The sequence below is a fragment of the Homo sapiens genome, chromosome 7, assembly GCF_000001405.40.
Source record: "Homo sapiens chromosome 7, GRCh38.p14 Primary Assembly".
NCBI classification, from domain to species: domain Eukaryota; kingdom Metazoa; phylum Chordata; class Mammalia; order Primates; family Hominidae; genus Homo; species Homo sapiens.
Genome location: NC_000007.14, coordinates 71,123,594 through 71,142,903, shown reverse-complemented (window position 1 = coordinate 71,142,903; position 19,310 = coordinate 71,123,594). Strand labels below are relative to the sequence as shown.

Genomic DNA, 19,310 nt, shown 5'->3' with positions numbered 1-19,310 from the left:
AGTGGCACAATCTCGGCCCATGGCAACCTCCGTCTCCCAAGTTCAAGTGATTCTCCTGCCTCAGCCTCCCAAGTAGCTGGGATTACAGGTATGTGCCACCAAGCCCAGCTAATTTTTGTATTTTTAGTAGAGAAAAAATTTCACCATGTTGGCCAGGCTAGTCTTGAACTCCTGACCTCAAGTGATCCACCCGCTTAGGCCTCCCAAAGTGCTGGGATTACAGGCGTGAGCCACCGCACCCAGCCAGTCTAATATTCTTTAGGGACCTGGCACATCCCTGGTAAAGCCACAAAGATATCTTCCCACTATTCCACAATGCCTAAGTAAGCATGATCTCTGCACCTCATTGTACTCTTAGCATCTAGTCTACGCCTCGCGGCAAGGAAGTGCTCACTAACGGATATGAATGACCATTGTGTTCTGTAATTGGGTTTGTCAGACAGGCTGCCATTTCTTCTCCTAGGCATTAAAAGCCATCAGCCAAAGGCACCATCATTATAAGTAAGAGGAGGAGCAGGGGATGGCAGGAGAAGGAAGAAGGAAATGGAGTCTGGCTCAGATAAACACATGGAAGAGAGAAGGATCCAAAAGTAGTCTGAAGAGTCCAAGAAAGTTATAAGGAAAAGGACCCCCTCTCACCTCGTCTGACATTCACAAAGCAAATAACAATGACCATACTCTACTATGAAGCATTGCTAGCTGTCCATGCATCCATTCAAGAAATATCTCCTGAGGGCCCCGCATAGTGGCTCATTCCTATAATCCCAGCACTCTGGGAGGCTGAGGCAAGAGGATCACTTGAGGTCAGGAGTTCAAGACAGGGCTGGCCAACATGGTGAAACCCCATCTCTACTAAACACACACACACACACACACACACACACACACACAGCCAAATGTGGTGGCTCATGCCTGAAATCCCAGCACTTTGGGAGACTGAGGCAGGAGGATCACTTGAGGTCAGGAGTTCAAGACCAGGCTGGTCAATATGGTGAAACCCTGTCTCTACTAAAAATACACACATACACACACACACACACACACACACACACACACACACACAGCCAGACGTGGTGGCGCATACCTGTAATCCCAGCTACCAAGCAGGCTGAGGCAGGAGGATCACTTGAACCCATGAGGCAGAGTTTGCAGTGAGCCGAGATCATGCCACTGTACTCCAGCCTGGGTAACAGAGCGAGACTCTGTTTCAAAAAAAAAAAAAAAGAAAGAAAGAAAGAAAAAGAAACATCTCCTGAGTACCTACCATGGCCCAGGGCTGCTCTAAGTGTCTCGGGAATATGATGGGAAACAGCACTCATGGCCCTTCCCATAAGTAGTTTGTATTCTTACAACTGCCGTGTGTTGGGTTTCATGCTTATGCTATACATTTTGAATTTCAAGTCATCCTGACATATGACAGTCCCATTTTACACTTAAAAAGTGAAGGGACTTGCCCAAGGTCACAGAGGTAATAAGTGACAGTGGAAATCAAACCCAGTCTGTCTTTTTTTTTTCTTTTCTTTTTTTTTTTGAGACAGTCTTGCTCTGTCGCCCAGACTCCCAGGCTACGGTGCAATGGCACAATCTCGGTTCACTGCAACCTCCGCCTCTCAGGTTCAAGTGATTCTCCTGCCTCAGCCCCCCGAGTAGCTGGGATTACAGGCGCTTGCCACCATGCCTGGCTATTTTTTGTATTTTTAGTAGAGATGGGGTTTCGCCATGTTGGCCAGGCTGGTCTTGAACTCCTGATCTCATGATCCACCTGCCCCGGCCTCCCAAAGTGCTGGGATTACAGGCGTGAGTCACCACGCCTGGCCCTGAGTCACCATGCCTGGCCCTGAGTGTCCTTTTAATACACTGGTTTGGGGGTTTTTTTTTAGAGTTTGGGTCTTGCTCTGTCACCCAGGATGGATGGAGTGCAGTGATGCAATCATGGCTCACTGAAGCCTCGAACTCTTAGGCTCAAGCGTTCCTCCCACCTCAGCCTCTCGAGTAGCTGGGACCATGGGCATGCACCACAATGTCTGGCTAATTTTTTATTTTTTGTAGAGAGAAGGTCTTGCTATGTTGCCCAAGCTAGTCTCAAACTCCTGGTCTCAAGCCATCCTTCCACCTCAGCCTCCCAAAGTGCTGGGATTACAGGCGTGAGCCACTGTGCCTGGTTCTTCTTATATATTCTTAAAGACTCGCAGGTCATCTAATCGTAGGTTGTTTCTTCGCTGGCCTTGGGCTTGGGTGTGCTCATGTTCCAACTTCCTGTGGTCACTCTTAGCTCTAAGTAATTACCGAGCTTTCTTCCTTTCCACAAAGGACGCTCCAGATTTGGCAACTAGCAAAGGTCAGGGGGGTTGGGTTTCTTCAGCAAGAATGACACTGGCTGCCTCTCCTGCTACCTCTGGGCTGGGCAGGTGGCAGCTGCCCCCACTGGCAGGGTGCCCACCACACTCACCTGCCAACACAGATGTGCCTGCATCTGAGGGCTGTCCAAGAACAGGACTCCCTATTTCTTCAGGAGGGGCCAACTGCAACCAGACACCATGAGTCCTTGGAGGTAAAGGGAGTGGGTGTCCTCCAGCACCCTGGCCCTGGTCCTAGGACCAAGCCTTCCATAACCCAGGGCCCGCGCCTGTCCTCAATCCCTGTGGAATGTCTGCGTGCAGCAAATGAAGGCTTGAACTGCCCTGGTTTCCTTCTGATGTTCCCTGCAGCAACTGATTTTAATATGCACATGTGCCCTCTCCCTTCGCTCCTTCCTGCAGGAAATGGTGGTACCGTCCAGCATCTGTGGGCTGCAAGAAAGAAGAAATATAACACCAGACCACCTCTGGCATTAATGAACGGAGATGCTTTCCAAATGCCATCCCTCTCTTTTTGTTTTTGGTTTTGGTGTGTGTTTGTTTGTTTATTTTTAAGACAGAGTCTCGCTCTGTCTCCCTGGCTGGAGTGCAGGGGCGCGATCTCTGCTCACTGCAGCCTCTGCCTTCCAGGTTCAAGCAAATTATCTTGCCTCAACCTCTTGAGTAGCTGGGATTACAGATGCCCGTCACCACGCCTGGCTTATTTTTGTATTTTTAGTAGAGACGGGGTTTCACCATGTTGGCCAGGCTGGTCTGGAACTCCTGACCTCAAGTGATCTGCCCACCACGGCCTCCCAAAGTGCTGGGATTACAGGCTTGAGCCACCGTGCCCGGCCACCATTCCTCTCTTTCTGACTCCACCTTGGAGACCTGTGAGAGCAAATCTCTTCCTCTCTCTGTGCCAAATCACTCTCCTTGCCTAGGGAGTTCTGTTGGGTGGGTTGTGGTGTGCTGGGGCTATATAGGAGCGTCTTGGTTTCCTATCACTCAGACTCCAACTTCAAGTGCCTGAGTGGCTTGGGGGCAGGACTGGAAGAGGTAATTTTGACTTCTCTCCATTTCTACAAAGATTTTCAATTTCTTTAAGCAACTCCACTTCTATTCACTATCCTTCTGAAATCTAAATTTGGTAACTAAGTTGAATCGATTGCATTTCTTCTTATGACAGAGCTGCCCTGGGCTCACAGGGATACAGCTCTGCTGTGCGTCCTGCGTGTGGACTCTGAGGAGAGGAGAGGGTGTCTCTAAGGCTTTGAGCCTGCGAGGGGCAAGTGAAGCTCCAGACCCCTCCATCTCTTTCCCCTTACTTATTAGGAAAGTGCTGGACTCCTGGGAGGAAGTACCCTGGTATTCCTGAACCTGGCTCTGCCCTTCCCTAGCTGTGTCACCCTGGAAAAGTCACATAGTATCTCTGTTTCTCACCTTTCTCACCTCTAAAATGAGAGAAATAAGTAACTTCCTCAGAAAGTGACAGAAACATGATAGAAAGCCAAAAATCACATAAAGAAGAATTCTAACAAGAAATCCGTCTGTCTCTAGGTCCACTTTCTTTTTTATTTTATTTATTTATTTGAGACCAAATCTTGTTCCGTCGCCCAGACTGGAGTGCAGTGGTGCAATCTCAGCTCACTGCAACCTCCGCCTCCCAGGTTCAAGTGATTCTCCTGACTCAGCCTCCAGAGTAGCTGGGATTACAGGCACCAGCCACCACGCCCTGCTACTTTTTGTATTTTTTTGTAGAGACAGGGTTTCGCCATGTTGGCCAGACTGGTCTGGAACTCCTGGGCCCAAGTGATCCACCCACCTCGGCCTCCCAAAATGCTGGGATTACAGGCGTGAGCCACTGTGCCCGACCACTAGGTCCACTTTCCTAATGCTTGTACAAAGCCTACACGCAATCATGTTAAATTTTTTTAACATGGTATTGTATCCTGTATAATTGTTTTAGATTTTCCATATTTTCTACAATAAAGATGAATTAATTTTATATACAAAAAAAGAATATGCTGTTGACCCCTTGAACAACAAGGGTCTGAACTGCGTGGGTCCACCTGTACATAGATTTTTTTCTTCCTCTGCCACCCCTGAGACAGCAAGACCAACCCTTCCTCCTCCTCCTCACCTACTCAATGTGAAGATGACCAGGATGAAGACCTTTACAACAATCCACTTCTACTCAATTAATAGTAAATATATTTTCTCTTCCACATGATTTTTTTTTCTTTTGAGCCAGAAGGCTGGGGAGCAGTGGCACAACCATAGCTCACTGTAGCCTCGAACTCCTAGGCTCAAAACATCCTCCCACCTCAGCCTCCTGAAGAGCTGGGACCACAGGTGTGCACCACCATGCCCAGCTGATTTTTGTAAAGATGAGGTCTTGCTGTGTTGCCCAGGTTGGTCTAAAATTCCTGGCCTCAACTGATCTTCTCACCTCAGCTTCCCATAGTACAGGGATTACAGGCATGAGCCAATGTGCCCAGCCCATACAATTTTCTTAATAACATTTCCTTTTCTTTAGCTTACTTTTTATAAGAATATAGTGTATAATACACACAAGATAGAAAATAAGTGTTAATCAACTGCTTATGTTACCAGTAAGCCTTCTGGTCAAGAGCAGGCTATTAACAGTTAAGTTTTGGGGGAGTCAAAAATTATACTTGGATTTTTGACTGTGCAAGTGTTGGCATCCCTAATCTCTGCATTGTTTCAAGGCTTAACTATAAAGCCATATTCATGTTATGAAATCATACATTTAACGAAAACACGCTGAAACTTGCCTATTCCTAACCTGGCTCACTTCCGAGGGCCTCGAAGGATCTCGTTCCCTTCAGTCAGGAAGGTGAAGACTAGACGAGCCTCAAGATGGCGGAGGCAAGATGGCTTCCTCACACTGTCTCTCTAGCTGAGTCCTCCCAGCCCCCACCCCTCTCCACATCCATCCAACACAACCCAGACTTTACAGCCTTGAGGTTATTTCCTATCTGGCCATCATTTACCTCCTCAAACTAGCTCCCAACAACTTGATCAACCAATAAACCTTAAGTGCCCCATTAAGTGCAAGGGGCTGTGGTGTGCTGAGGGATGGGGGTGGTATTAAAAGTCCAAAATGGCCGGGCGCGGTGGCTCACGCCTGTAATCCCAGCACCTTGGGAGGCCGAGGCGGGTGGATCACGAGGTCAGGAGATCGAGACCATCCTGGCGAACACGGTGAAACCCCGTCTCTACTAAAAATACAAAAAATTAGCCGGGCGTGGTGGCGGACGCCTGTAGTCCCAGCTACTCGGGAGGCTGAGGCAGGAGAATGGCGTGAACCCGGGAGGCGGAGCTTGCAGTGAGCCGAGATCGCGCCACTGCGCTCCAGCCTGGGTGACAGAGCAAGACTCTGTCTCAAAAAAAAAAAAAAAAAAGTCAAAAATATGATTCCAGCCCTTAAAAGGCCTATCAAGGCGCTGTGGCTCACACCTCTAATCCCAGCACTTTGGGAGGCCAAGGCCTGAGGTGGGGTGTGGGGTGAAAAGGGGGTGGGGGTGGGGATCACTTGAAACCAGCCCTGGCAACATGGCAGAACCCCATCTCTACAAAAAATACAAAAACTAGCTGGGCATGGTAGCATGTACTTGTAGTCCCTGCTACTAGGGAGGCTGAGGTGGGAGGATCACTTGAGCCGGGGAAGTAGAGGTTGCAATGAGCTATAATTGCATCACTGCACTCCAGCCTGAGTGACAGAGTGAGACTCTGACTCAAAAAAAAAAGAAGCCTACAGGCAGGGCACAGTGGCTTACACCTGTAATCCCAGCACTTTGGGAGGCCGAAACAGGAGGATCACTTGAGGTCAGGAACTCAACACCAGCCTGACCAACATGGCGAAAACCCGTCTCTACTAAAAACACAAAAATTAGCCGGGCATGGTGGCGGGTGCCTGTAGTCCCAGCTACTCGGGAGCTGAGGCAGGAAAGTCACTTGAACCCAGGAAGCGGAGACTGCAGCGAGCGGAGATCGCACCACTGCACTCCAGCCTGGCGACACAGCGAGACTCCATCTCAAAAAAAAAGAAGAGGAAGCCAGGAGGAGGTAGAGCCCTCCATAAATCCCACCTGCTTGGACTTCACAGGAGTCCACGGGAAAGATTTAAGAAACTTGAGCAACCTTTAAAATGCCTGGCTCCCACTCTGTACCAAGTGGCTTTGGCCCTCTTACATGCACAGTGCACTGGCTCTAGCAGCCTCTCCATTAATTCCAAGGGAATAAAGAACATTAAGGTCAAGGTTTCCTTCTCCACCCTCGGGAGCAATGAATGAAGACCGGCTGCAGAGCAAGAGAGCACGTGTCTCCCCAGGCACTAGGAGCCCTTTGCCTTCTCGGAGCAGCCTCCCACTGCAGCAGGCGGAGGGCATCAACAGATGGGACACGCATTACCCAAAACAAGCACCGGCAGAGGATGAAGGTGCTTGAGGGGCCAGGTGGAGAGAGAGGAAGAGCCCCCTATATTTCACAATTTTTCCCTGCTCTTTTTCTGCAGGCTTCATGTCACTGCAAATGACACTAGGCAGTCAGGATGGTAACATCTGCCTAGTCGCAGCTTGCATTCTTAGCTTGCCCAGGAAAAGCTCTCAACTTGGCCTTGCTGCCAACTTGCAAGTCAGGAAAACTCAGCCTTCCCACCCCACAGCACCTGACTCCACCAGTCCGGGAACTGTTTACAGGGCAGAAGGCCACAGAGAAGGAAGCCAGACGCCAGTTGATCTGAAGCAAGCTCTCAGCTTAAGTCCCCAAAATGAGCTGGCTTTGGAGGTTGGATGGGTTTTCTACCTTTACTCTGCTTGATGTAGGCAGCAGACTGTTGGGCAGTGGGTCGAGGGCCCTGTCCCAAGTTTGTTAGAGAGGCAAATTCTCAGGCTTCACCTGAGACCTGGGCGGGAGGCCCAGAAATCTGTCTTAAAGGGCTCTTCAGTGATTCTGATGCACATGCTGAAGATCAAGACACTGGTGCAGGAGCTAAGAACCTCCATTCTGGAGCCTGACATTCCAGGTTCGATTCCCAGCTCTGACACTCACTAGCTGGGTGACTGTGAGCAAGTTGTTCAGGCGGGTGTCAGAGCACCCATCTCGCAAGTCATTGTAAAGATTCAGTGGGTTCATGTATGTCTGTGGCAAGTAGAAAGTAGCCTCCTAACCTCCCTTCACCTAGTTTTCTCATTTCTCAACTGGGGATGGGTGGAGCCTCTCTGGACAGATGTGAACATACAGTGAGATAATGCACTTGTAATGTCTCTGCACACATCTGGCACACAGCAAGAATTCCATCAGTTATTATTATAGAATTTTATTATTCCTATGAGGGAAGTTAGGGTACAGCTATATAATATTTAATGCTCCTAATTGAAACTAATACTGGGGCCAGGCATGGTGGCTCACGCCTGTCATCCCAACACTTTGGGAGGCCCAGGCAGGAGGATTGCTTGAAGCCAGGAATTCGAGACCAGCCTGGACAACCTAGCAAGACCCTGTGTCTACAAAAAATTAAAAAATTAGAAGGGCATGGTGATGCACACTTGTAGACCCAGCTACTTGGGAGGCTAAGGCCAGAGAATGACTTGAGCCCAGGAGTTTGAAGCTTCAGTGAGCTATGATTGCACCACTGCACTCCAGCCAGGGGGACAGAGCGAGAAGACCCTGTCTCAAAAAAAAAAAAAAAAAAAAAAAAAAAAAAACCATAAAACAAAGAAACTGATACTAAACTAACCTGTGTCCCTGAGAAAAGCCTGATGAGGGAAACCAGGTTAACCTTTGAAGTTCCTATGGGTATGTCTACAGCAGGAATCTATCCCAAATTATAAGGCCACCCCGTAAGTTTCTGATTCCTCCAGAAATGAACTATGGGTTTTTGTCGCATTCTGTGCCATATTTCTGACACCTGAGAGAAGAGCTTCTGCATAACTTCCGTGGGCTACCCTGACAGTCAGGCCATATACCCTGCAAGTTCAAGGCATCCCCTGGATATCTGTCAAATGGCTTCGAGAAGACCGCAGCGTCCTTTCACCTGCTCAGAGATCTGACCACCCCTCTCCCTCCATCCCATCCCTCCCCCAGTACCCAGCAGGGACCTTTGGTGAGCCTGAAAAGAACCATTTGCCATCCTCCTTCTCCCTGCCCCTTGCCACCACAGTGAAGACAGTTGAGATCCTCCAATGTGAGAAGGTATATGTCTGTATTTGCAATTCCACATATTTCTGTTTTCAACAAACCTAATACTCCTTTCACTTAGGGGAAAACCATGGATAGAAGTTTGAGCCTAAGAGGTCAAGCGCACAGGCTCTGTGGTCAACCAGACACAGGGTTCTGACTCCAGACTCTATTATTATTCCGATTACAGAGGTTTGGGGCGCAGTTATATCTTATTTAACACAGGGCAACTTAGTTAACCTCCCCTCGCTTAGTCTTCTCATTTCCCCTCTGTGGATGGGTGGAGCCTCGCTGGACAGATGTGAACATACAGTGAGATAATGTACTTGTAATGTCTTTGCACGCATCTGGCACAGAGCAAGAATTCCATCAGTTATTATTATCACGATCTTCGTGATTATCTGCAGTTCGTTTGAGAACATGAGTTACAAGCTCAGAAAGGGAGGAGGTAGTCTGTACCTAAGTACGTATCTGCCTTGGATAACCCCACGCATCCTGGAAACCTGCCTGTACTCAGGTAGGTAACACTCACTCTGACGTTGGGGACAGCTAGTGTCCAATGACCTGGCCCAGGTGTGACAAGAGCACATAAAAAGTCTCCCTCTTCTCCTGAAGTACTGAGCACAACATTTTAGATGGGACAGATTCAGACAACTGTCACTAATGGGATGCCACATCTCTCTGTGCTACATTCTGGAAACTTCGCAGGCCCACCCTGAGCTTTAACAATCGCCCCTCCGCAGCCCCCAAGGAGAAACACAGGCGGCAGGAAGGGAGGAGTCCTCATTCTTAGCTGAGCAGCTCGCCTCATAGACAGATGACATATTCCTCCCATATACTACCTAAGCGCATTAGCTCCGCGACCTGGGGCCTTGACTTTGTCTGCAGACATCCAAGCCCTCCAATCTCCCAGGTTCCCTACTGGTACCCCACCAAACGCTGGGCTCTAAGACTATTTCCTCCTACACGTCTGCCCGCGCGCCTCCAGTCCCATGTGGCCCCTCCACTAGTTTCTGCGCTCGGGCTGGAGTCGCCAGGGAATGATTTCCAGTCCGCACGCGGGGACCGGGAGCCAACTGTACTGACATGTTTCCAGGATAAAACCAAATTTGCAGGTGGGGCACAGAAAAGAATCAGGCAAGTTGTTCTTTCCAGCAGCCCCGGCCATCTGCCCGAAACGGGGCAGGAAGGGTAAGAAGGAGCGCGCGGGAGCCAGGGTGTGCCGGCTCCCAGGCACAGGGCGCAGCGCGCAAGGACCCTGGGGCTCACCCTGTGCCCGGCCCGCCCGCGTCGAGCCCCGGAGGCGCCGGCGTGCGTCCTTACCATTCAGCTGCCGGTACACGATGTCCTCCAGCAGCGACAGGCGCTTCAGGACCGCATCCTGGATGGGGCTGGCGCTGTGCGCGCTGAGGTTGGCCACCTCGGCGCGCGGCCGGATCTCGTGGAAGGCGTCTCCGCTGCGCACCGCGATGGGCCGGCACTTGGCCAGGAAGAGCACGAAGCCGGCTACCGCGATCAAGTTCAACACCAACAGCACTTTGACTCTTCTCAGTGAAGCCATCAAACAGCCCGGCCGGCCCTCGCCCCGGACCTGCGCCCCCTCGGGCTCCGGCGAGGCGCGGGGCAGCCAGGGGCCGTGCAAGCCTCACACACCAGACGGCCGGCAGGGATCCAAGCCCCTGCTCGTCCCACCTCAAGGATGCTCGGGCGGCGGAGACGGCTGGGAGGTCGGATTGGTGGTGGGGAGAACGGAATCGCTCACATGGAAGTCCTCGCTCTGCAGAAGTGCTCCCCGAGACGCCTGCTCAGTCCACGGCGCACGGCCCCGTCCAGGCGTCTCCGCGAAAGGCCAGGGATTTGAGGGTTTCTCTTCTGCACCAGCAAGTGGTTCGCCTCTGGACCTCTAGCCGCCGGCGCCGCGGACTCCGAGGCCGGCAGGCGGGGCTGCCCGGGAGGCACAGAGGGAGCGGCGCACAGGTGCCGGACTCAGGGATCGCCGCCCGCCCACGGCGGAGCGCGCCGCGCCTGGGGCCGCACAGCCTCCCACCTTGGCCCGCAGGCGGCCGTCGCGGCGCGCCACCCGCGCTCTTCAGCGGAAGACCCGCTCCCCCGGGCAGGCGCCTTTGTTCCGCTCACCGACCCGCTCCATCGCGCCGGGCAGAGGGGAAGCCCGCTCGGGGAGCCCGCATCCTCCAGGCTCCGCAGTCACGCTCAAGTCTCAATTACTCTCAAAGTGGGGGCAGCACTAGGGGGCGGGCGCCGGGCCGAGCGCTACGTCCTCTCCGCCCCCCGCGCGGAGTCCACCCCACCCCGCCGGCAAACTCACCAGCGCTCACAGCGCCGCCGGCTCCCGGACACGTTCCAAGCCCCCAAACCGCGCCGAGAGCCTTCGGGGCCTTCAGGGCACACCGGCCTGTCTCGGAGCTGGCGCGTCGCGAGGCTGGCCGGAAGGAGTCGGACCTCAAAAGTCACAGCAGTTCTCTACCCCCTCCCAAAACGTCGCGGGCAGCGCGGCGGGGAGGTACGCGTGCCGAATCACCCTCCGCTCGCCAGATCCGGCCGCGCGGCTCGTCCCGCGCCCCCGGGAGCCAAAACGCCGAGTCTCCCAATTGGCGGACGCGGTGACACCGCCGCTGCGGCACCGAGAGCCACACAGCCCCGGAGCTGAGGAGCCCGGAGGGGACGCGCAGGTGGCGGCGGAGGGCGGGGCGCGGCCCGAGGGGAGCGGCGGCGGCGCCAGCTCCTCCTCCGCCGCTCTTCGCCACCCTGTCCCCGAGAGGCTGTCGGCGGCCGCCGCCGCCGCCCGCAGGCTGCCGAGCGCACAGCTCCCCGGTTCGCCGACTCGTGCGCGCGCGCACCCGGGCAGGGCGGGGGCTTCTGGAGAGTGGGGACCGCGCGGGATGGAGGCAGTCAAGGCATGCTGGCTGCGGCCGGCGCTGGAGGGACCCTTTAGTTCTCAGTACTCCCTGAGCGGGCGGGTTCGTTCCATCCCGGTTGGCGATGAAGACATCCTTTTCTGTGTGCTCGCGGCTCCGCGCTGCGTGGCCAGGAATGGCTAGAGGGAAAATCTGGCCTGGAGGCTCGGATTCTGAGACCTTCGGAGCCAGGCCGGGCGTGAGCGGGCTTGGGGGGGTTCTCTGCGTGCAAGAATTCTAACCTCCCCAGTCACTGCTTCTAGGCCCACCCGCTGCTCTGTTCAAATTTTATTATAAGAAGCATATTCATTTGGCTCCTGGTTTTCCACTACCTCTTCCTCTTCCCAAAACCCAGGAACTCGAAATACTGGAATTCAACGCCCCCCCACCCCGGTTGATCCATTTAATTCCTTGGGTCTAAAATAGAAATCAGGCCGCCAACTAATAAAAATCGGGCAGCAAAGCTAAATGGAGCTGATCGTTTTCCCCTCATCATTTTGATCTCATTAAAGTTTTTGTTTTTGTTTTTGCGGTTGTTTTGGTTTTTTCTGGGGCTTGGTTTCTTGTTTTGTTTTTGCCTGTGTATTATTTTAAGTTTTGATTTTTAACATAGAAATGTATATGCAAAAAAATAGTCTTTTTATTTCATTCCCTTGGAATTCTCTGCCTGGGTGCAATCGGGTCCTCAGGGCGCATGCTTTGTAAAATCTACCTGAAAGTGGACACAAAACAGTTAAAAAGGCCCAAGGGATGATTTTTAGCCACACATGTTAGGCAAGAGAGAGGCTGTGTGGGAAGAAACTTGGGTTACTGAGCATCTCATGGAGTATCCAGTTGAGTTGGGTGTTATTATAACCACACTACAGATGGAGCTAGCACAATCAATGGAAGCTTCTGCAAAAATAATTTTTGAACATTCACTCAGCCGCAGGACTGAAGCCAGGGAGGCTGAGGCATTGGGCTAGGGTGCCCGAGAAGCAGTAAGTGGCTCTAAGTATGTGCTTGAGGCTGACTCTCAAGCGTGTGCATATTTGGGAGTGGAAGACAGGAAACAAAGTAGAGGAAACAGCCTCAGAGTAATCGAGAAGTTTCCAGGCAAATTTCAATTTCAGAGAGATTTCTGTGCTTTCTCTAAAGCCAGAGAGGTCCCTGATGCAAATTAACTTTTGGCTTTATCATGCATCCTCCAGGAGCCTCCTCTCAGCTCCTGCACGCATTCTGGGCAGCTTCTGTGTTCAAAAATGACACTGGACACTACTCAATGAGTGACCCACTGTCATGGCCTCATCCTGAACCCTGTATTCACAGAGGAGCCTTCCACTCCTGCAATCCTGCACTAAAATCCCAGCCTGTTATTACTGTTCCCTAGCTTTTTACCTCTCCCATTCTCAACTCCAAACAAACATATTCTCCAGCCAACAACTTCCTTCTCCTTCCCAGGTGTCCATGCCTCTCTATCCCCTCTGGAGTTCCTTCCCTCCTCTTTCTGGAGTTCATGGTTAGTCATTTATTTCAAACACATTCCTAATAGGGCCTGCTATTAAGGATCATGCACATGTATATCATATTTTTCCACTGCCCCAGCCTAGCAATCCCCAACTCTGAATCAATTTCACCTTCTTCTTTCTCAACCCAAGGACAAAGGCAAGAGCAAGTGTACCCAGGGAAAAACCACATCATCTCAAAGCCTGCAGGCATTTCCAATTGGTGGTGTCTAACCTTACCTGGGCCTTCGATTCTACTGAAAAGCTCTATTCCATGTCCCTAGCCAGCTCCTCTCCCTAGAGACACCCTAGCTAGACTTCAGGAGTTCATGAATAGCTCTCAATCAGATGAAAAAGTGTATCTGCATGTTACATAGACATTTTTCTGGGGAAAAGACCTGTAAGTTTCATCAGATTCTCAACATAGTCAATGACCCTAAAAGTTTAAGGACCTGCCTAGCATGTTATATATGCAAAAACATAATCAACTAAACGTTTATTATATACCAGCTGCTTCTGAAACCAACAAAACTACACTTCAGTGGCTGTGTGGTCTGCTCGCCATAAGGTCTGGGTTCCAGTCCCATTTCGGTCACCAAAGAATAAATCTGTTCTTGACTTTAAAAGAAGAAATTTATCTTGGATGGCACCCAAAACCATTCCCAGTCATAAAACTCAGTTTAACTACAAAAGCTTTATCAAAAGAGTTTCTTTGGTTGGTTGGTTGAGCAAACTGAAAGGAAAGAGACCAATGGTATTTCTGTGCAAGGATTTTTTATTTCAAATACATTTTTCACTCAACCATGGTTCAAATAACATATGCCTTTGACATGACTCTGTCCCCTTTGTTTGTCTGTTAAAAATGTATCGCATCTCATCTGAGTCCATAACAGGAGTTAAAATACTTGGAGTTTCGCCAAGGGAAACCAGGGACTCATCTCTCTACAGAGGTTTGGCCAACTCATTTACTCTTGCTAGAATTCGCGAGGCAAAGCCTTCACTCTCATAAAACCCTGAGCATTGCAAAAGATACTGGAGTTTTGGTTGTTATAATTTCAACTTTCATTTTAGACACAGAGGGTATACGTGCAGGTTTGTTACATGAGTATATTGTGTGATGCTAAGGTTTGGGGTACGGATTCTGTCACCCAGGTACTAATGAGCATAGTAACCAATAGAACCAATAGGTAGTTTTCTTTCTTTCTTTCTTTCTTTTTTTTTTTTTTTTGAGAGAAGTCTTGCCGTTGCCCAGGCTGGAGTGCAGTGGCACGATCTGGGTTCACTGCAACCTCCACCTCCTGGGTTCAACCGATTCTCCTGCCTCAGCCTCCCAAGTAGCTGGGATTACAGGCAGGGCCACCACGCCTGGCTAATTTTTGCATTTTTAATAGAGATGGGATTTCGCCATGTTGGCCAGGCAGGTCTCGAACTTCTGACCTCAGGTGATCTGCCTGCCTCGGCCTCCCAAAGTGCTGAGATTACAAGAGTGAGCCACTGTGCCCGGCTGGTAGTTTTTCAATCCATTTCCCCCCCACCCCCCTTGTAGTAGCCCCAGTGTCCATTGTCCCCATCTTGATGTCCACACATACTCAATGTCTAGTGCCCGCTTATAAGTGAAAACATGCAGTAATTGGTTTTCTGTTCCTGCGTTAATCCTCTTAGGATTATGGCCTCCTACCTGCAGGGTGTTTTTTATTTTGTTTTGTTTTGTTTTTTGGACGGAGTTTCTCTCTTGTCGCCCAGGCTGGAGTGCAATGGCATGATCTCGGCTCACCACAACCTCCGCCTCCCAGGTTCAAGCGATTCTTCTGTCTCAGCATCCCGAGTGGCTGAGATTACAGGCACATGCCACCACACCAGGCTAATTTTTGTATTTTTTTTTTTTTATAGAGACAGGGTTTCTCCATGTTGGTCAGGCTGGTCTTGAACTCCTGACCTCAGGTGATTTGCCCACCTCAGCCTCCCAAAGTGCTGGGATTACAGGAGTGAGCCACCGCGCCCAGCTACAGATTTTTTAAAGGAGGAAACAAAAAGACATGAATCTACCTCCCCGCTTCAAGAATTCACAGTGTAGCAGTGGTGGGGAGCTTACACGGGAGATAAGTAAACAGGGAGAGACCAAGCTGTGCTGACTGTGCTCAGTGCCTAGGTATTGTGTGTCAGGCATTGTACATGCATCAGCCTAGCCTCACCATTGAATCTGCTGTGTGACCTTGAGCAAATTACCTCACTTCTCTGGGCATTACCCATTTTTATTTTTCTAGCTGTCAAACAGGAATAATATCCATAATATTACCTCTTGAAGTTGCAAGCATAAATGAGCTAATATGTGTAAATTGCTTAGCTCAGTGCTAGGCATCTAATAAGCACCATGGAAATAAACAAAGACCACCCAAGTGAGGACAAGCAAAGGCTGTCTATTCTGAGCTTGCTATTGCAAGGGAGTCAGCCATCATTCCTTGCATGTGGTAGAAACTCAAAGGCAGGCAGAGGAAAGAAAAGAAAAACTTCTAGGGGCTGAGCGAGGTGGCTCACGCCTGAAATCCCAGCACTTTGAGAGGCCAAGGTGGGCAGATCACCTGAGGTCAGGAGTTCGAGACCAGCCTGGCTAACATGGTGAAATCTTGTCTCTGCTAAAAATGCAAAAATTAGCTGGGCGTGGTGGGACACCTCCCAGCTACTAGGGAAGCTGAAGCAAAAGAATTACTTGAACCCAGGAGACAGAGGTTGCGGTGGGCCAAGATCGCCCTACTGCACTCCAGCCTGGGCGACAGAGTGAGTTTCCATCTCAAAAAAAAAAAAAAAAAAAGAAAGAAAGAAAAGAAAAAGAAAAGCTTCTGGGGCGTGAAAGGGACAAGTGCACCCTGACTGAAGGCCGCTGGTCTGGGGAAGCGGGAGGTGGGCTAACTTAGAAGCAGGGTTTCCATGTGATCAGTGAGGAGGACATATTTCACTTTCTTTGGTTGGTTCAAAATTGAAAATTGGGCAAAAATCTGAGAAGCTGGCAGCCATGTCCTGGCCATGTTGAGCCACTTGCGGCAGATGTTTCAAGTCAGAGTTCTTTTTTTTTTTTTTTTTTTTTTTTGAGACGGGGTCTTACTCTGTTGCCCAGGCTGGAGTGCAGTAGCACAGTCTCGGCTGACTGCAGCCTCAACCTCCTATGCTCAAGGGATCTCCCACCTCAGCCTCCCGAGTAGCTAGGATCACAGGTGCACACCACTGTGCCCAACTAATTTTTGTATTTTTAGTAGAGGTGGGTTTCCCTGTGTTGCCCAGGCTGGCCTCAAACTCCTGGACTCAAGAGATCCACCCGCCTCGGCCTCCCAACGTGCTGGGAGTACAAGCGTGAGCCACCATTCCCGGTCTTCCGGTCAGAGTTCTATTGTCACATATGGCCTAGCCATTGTCTGTTAGAATTTCAGCCTTTCTGCACTCAATAAGTATTATTACGTTGGTGCAACAGTAATTGTGGGTTTTGTCATCACTTTTAATGGCAAAAGCCACAATTACTGTTGCACCAACCTAATAGTTAATGTTGTTATTAACTATTAATTACTACAATTGGCTACAATACTACAATAGTTACAATAGTTAACTATTAAAATTACTACAGTTGGCCAGGCATAGTGGCTCACGCCTGCAGTCTAAGCACTTTGGGAGGCTGAGGCGGGAGAATCTATTGAGGGTGGAAATTCAAGACCAGTCTGAGGCTGAATCCGGTGGCTCACGCCTGTAATCCCAGCACTTTGGGAGGCCAAAGTGGGCGGATCACTTGAGGTCGGGAGTTCGAGACCAGCCTGCCCAACATGGTGAAACCCCATCTCTACTAAAAATACAGAAAATTAGCCAGGCATGGTGGCACATACCTGTAGTCCCAGCTACATGGGAGGCTGAGGCAGGAGAATTGCTTGAACCCAGGATTCAGAGGTGAGCCAAGATCTTGCCACTGCACTCCAGCCTGGGAGACAGAGCAAGACTCTTCCTCAAAAAAAGAAAAGATTAAAAAAAAAAAAAGACCAGACTGAGCAACATAGCAAGACCCCATCTCTGCAAAAATGAAAATAAAAACTTTAGCCGGGCATAGTGGCACACTCCTGTAATCTCAGCTGCTTGGAGGCTGAGGCAGAATGATCACTTGAGACCAAGAGTTTAAGGCTGTAGTGAGCTATGATTGCACCACTGCACTCCAGCCTGGGCAACAGAGTGAGACACTCACTCTAAAAAAGACAAAAAAAAGTACTGCAAATGAGAAAGGCCAGTAGTTGGTGAAAACAAGCATCAGAATCCACTTGCCTTTGAGACTTAGGCCATGCCCCCTGTACCCCACGTCACTTTCTCTGACCAAGATGTCATCAGCCAGCACGAGTGGCTTGCAAAGTGTAGGTACAAGGCCGGGCACAGTGGCTCATGCCTGTAATCCCAGCATTTTGGGAGGCCAAGGCGGGCGGATCTCTTGAGGTCAGGAGTTTGAGACCACCCTGGCCAACATGGTGAACCACATCTCTACTGAAAACATACAAAAAATGAGCAGGATGTGGTGGTGTGCACCTGTAGTCTCAGCTACACAGGATGCTAAGCAAGAGAATCACTTGAACTCAGAGAGTCAGAGGTTGCAGTGAGCTGAGATTGCACCTGCCCTCCTGGGCGACAGAGCAAGACTCTGTCTCAAAAACAACAAAAAAAAAGTGTGGATATAAGACAACCCACTGGGATACAGGAAGAAAATATTGGAGCTTCTGTCTTCTAGTATATGCAACTAATACAAGCAGTCATGCATGTAAATAATTTTTAAATAAATATACATGTAACAGGTGTGCATGTTTCACGTCTTTTCCTGATAAGATCCACCATGAAAAAGCAATTGAAGCCTACTAGCCAAGTTGCATAGCAGCCCTGGGGTTGTATTTTCATTAAGATACATCCTTTCTACTGTTGGATTCCCTTTAACCAGACCCTCTTAAGGCCCAGTTTAAAATCCCACTCCTCTGCAGAGCCCTATCAAAGAGCTCCTAACACGTGCAACTGTTTGTCTAGAAATCATCTACAATGTATCTAAAATCTACTAAGTGACTATTCATCCACTGAACTCTTAATGAGGGCTTACAATGTGCTGTTCTGTGCAGGGCAGGGTGGGTACATGTTTCCTGCCCCCATGGGGCTTATTGTCTACCAGGAAAGACAAATGGTAAATAAATCATAATGTTAACGTTATTAAATTGTAGCTAGGGCTAGGTGCGGTGGCTCATGCCTGTAATCCCAGCACTTTGGGAGGCCGAGGCAGGCGGATCACGAGGTGAGGAGATCGAGACCATCCTGGCTAACATGGTGAAACCCCGCCTCTACTAAAAATACAAAAAATTAGCTGGGCGTGGTGGCGGGTGCCTGTAGTCCCAGCAACTCGGGAGGCTGAGGCAGGAGAATGGCGTGAACCCGGGAGGCAGAGCTTGCAGTGAGCCGAGCCAAGATTGTGCCACTGCACTCCAGCCTGGGTGACAGAGCAAGACTCCGTCTCAAAATAAATAATAAATAAATAAATAAATGATAAATAAATTGTAGCTAGGAGAAACAATGAGGCCTACCCCTGAAGGATGGGCTCTTCTGTGCCTGTCCTGTTGTCCTGTCATCGAACTTCAGGGGATCTAATCCAACCAGCTGCCTTGGGGAACACCCTTTCCCTCCTTTCTGTTCCCAGTCCCCATCTCTGTCTTAATTCAGCATCCCAGACACTCCTCCCAAGGCCCACCTGCCTGGCAATGCCTTGGCCTAGGAAAGGTCTTCTGAGGCCGGACACGGTGGTCACACCTGTAATCCCAGCACCTTGGGAAGCCGAGGCGGGTGGAGTCCAGGAGTTTGAGACCAGCCTGGACAACATGGTGAAACCCCATCTCTACTAAAAATACAAAACTTAGCTGGGTGTGGTGGTGGGCACCTGTAGTCTCAGCTACTCAGGAGGCTGAGGCAGGAGAATTGCTTGAACCCAGGAGGTGGGGGTTGCAGTGAGCTGAGATTGTGCCACTGCACTCCAGCCTAGTCAACAGAGCAAGCCTTGATGTCAAAAAAAGAAAAGAAAAGAAAAGTAAAGAAAGATCTGAAATGTAGATGAGCCTCACTCCAGTCCTTCTCAGGGGCAAACCTCTACTTTACTCAATCTGTGTATCTTTTCTAAATGTATTAAAGGTTTGTAGAACCGGAAGACTGCCTGTCTTTAAGGATTCTAAGTGGAAAAAGGAAAAAGGAGGAACACAGGAGGTGACTTTTCACTGACTTTTCACTGCCTCTCCATTTCCTGTTGTTGCTATGAATAAACCCTTAATAGGATCAGTGCTTGCTTTGGGGTGAGTGTGTGGAGAGGCCGAGAGACTGAGCTGTCA

At 50.1% G+C, this 19,310-nt stretch overlaps 1 protein-coding gene across 4 annotated transcripts in view; it reads right to left on the bottom strand.

The window, feature by feature from the left end:
• Positions 1 to 10,760, bottom strand: part of GALNT17 (polypeptide N-acetylgalactosaminyltransferase 17) — a 581,456-nt gene extending 570,696 nt beyond the window's left edge. For all 4 annotated transcript variants that reach the window (NM_022479.3, XM_011516467.4, XM_017012521.3 and 1 more), the window contains exon 1: positions 9,864 to 10,760. In NM_022479.3, coding sequence (NP_071924.1) covers positions 9,864 to 10,101 — 238 coding nt within the window. In that variant the 5' untranslated portion in view covers positions 10,102 to 10,760. The remainder of the gene's footprint in view (positions 1 to 9,863) is intronic.
• Positions 10,761 to 19,310: the final 8,550 nt, after the last annotated feature.